This window comes from Homo sapiens, chromosome X (assembly GCF_000001405.40).
Source record: "Homo sapiens chromosome X, GRCh38.p14 Primary Assembly".
NCBI classification, from domain to species: Eukaryota; Metazoa; Chordata; class Mammalia; order Primates; family Hominidae; genus Homo; species Homo sapiens.
In genome coordinates this window covers 100,768,071-100,769,606 of record NC_000023.11, presented here as the reverse complement: position 1 = coordinate 100,769,606, position 1,536 = coordinate 100,768,071, and the positions used below count along the sequence as shown (strand labels likewise).

The 1,536-nt window shown below is 41.3% G+C and overlaps 1 annotated feature.

The window, feature by feature from the left end:
• Nucleotides 573-867: an enhancer, noted in NCBI's record as "tiled region #15282; K562 Activating DNase unmatched - State 12:CtcfO". NCBI's record gives its function as "activates a minimal TATA promoter and a strong SV40 promoter by Sharpr-MPRA in K562 cells {active_cell/tissue: K562}" and the evidence as "EXISTENCE:reporter gene assay evidence [ECO:0000049][PMID:27701403]".

Sequence of the window (1,536 nt, the reverse complement as noted above, 5' to 3'; positions counted from 1 at the left end):
CTGGAAACCATCACTGTCAGCAAACTAACGCAGGAACAGAAAACCAAACACCGCACGCTCTCACTCATAAGTGGGAGTTGAACAACGAGAACACATGGACACAGGGAGGGGAACATCACACACTGGGGCCTGTCGGGGGATGGGGGTCAAGGGGAGGGAGAGCATTAGGACAAATACTTAATGCATGCCGGACTTAAAACCTAGATGACCGTTGATGGGTGCAGCAAGCCACTATGGCACATGTATGCCTATGTAACCTGCACGTTCTGCACATGTATCCCAGATCTTAAAATAATAAATAAATAAATAAATAAGTTTCTGCATCACAGGCTAGTGTGAAGCCAACCAAATTGAAGTGTGGTAACAAAGAAAACACGACATTCATTTGCCAGAGCCCTTTCTTCCAAAATAGCGGGCATGATTGGGAAAGAACTCCCAACTCCCTGAGTTGGGAAAGTCTCCCTGAGTAGGGAAAGAAGAATGGAAAATATATCCAACATTCTAACTTTTCTGGAGTGGGGGCGGTGGCTTCCCATGGGACTAGTGTCTGTCTTGCTAAAGCTAAGTACTGATAAGAATGGGGTGCCAGGTTGGGGGCTGCTGAGAAAAAGAGAGTTAAATGTGCACCAGAGTGCATTATCACAGATAGACACTAGGCGGCGCTCCAGTGCTATGTCTTATTAAACCACCAGCGAGGCTGCAGTACTACAGATAGACACCAGGTGGGGCTCCTGAGTAGAAGCCAGTAAAGTTCAACTGGGAGCTTAACATACAAAAGCCCAGACAGGAAGGATCCTTAGAAAGCTTTATATGTCTCCAGAACTCTAGTTGATCTAATTGGAGAAAGTCCTCCCTGTATGAAACCAGACTCCAAAGACTGCAATAGGTGGCTGTTTCGTGAATGAAGTCCCAACAGATGATAACAAGGCATACAAAGAAACAAGGAAACATGACCCAACAAAAGAACGTTAATATTCAGAAACTGTCCCTAAAGAAGTAAGATAAGTGAATTACCAGAGGAAGAATTTAAAAATAACCACCATAAGGATGCTCAATGTGAATTAAAAGAGAGTACAGACAGACAACTAAATAAAATCAGGAAAATGAACAAAATGAGAATATCAACAGATATAAAAACCATGAAGAAGAGCCAAACAGAAATTCTGAAACTGAAGAATACAATAACTGAATTGAAAACCTCACTATAGAAGTCCAACAGCAGATTTGACCAGATAGAACAAATCAGTGAACTTGAAGACAGGAAATTGAAATTATCTAGACAGAGGAGCCAAAAGAACAAAAGAATGAATAAAACTGAACAGAGCCTAAAGGACTTATGGGACACTCTCAAATGTAACAATATATGCATTATGGGAGTCCTTGAGGGGGAAAAAAAAGAGGAAGGAGCAGAGAATTTGAAGAACTGTTTGAAGAACTAATGGCTGAAAACTTCCCATATCAGAGGAGAGAAAGACATACATATTCAAGAAGCTCAAAGAAATTCAACTAGGATAAATATAGAGAGACCTATACTGA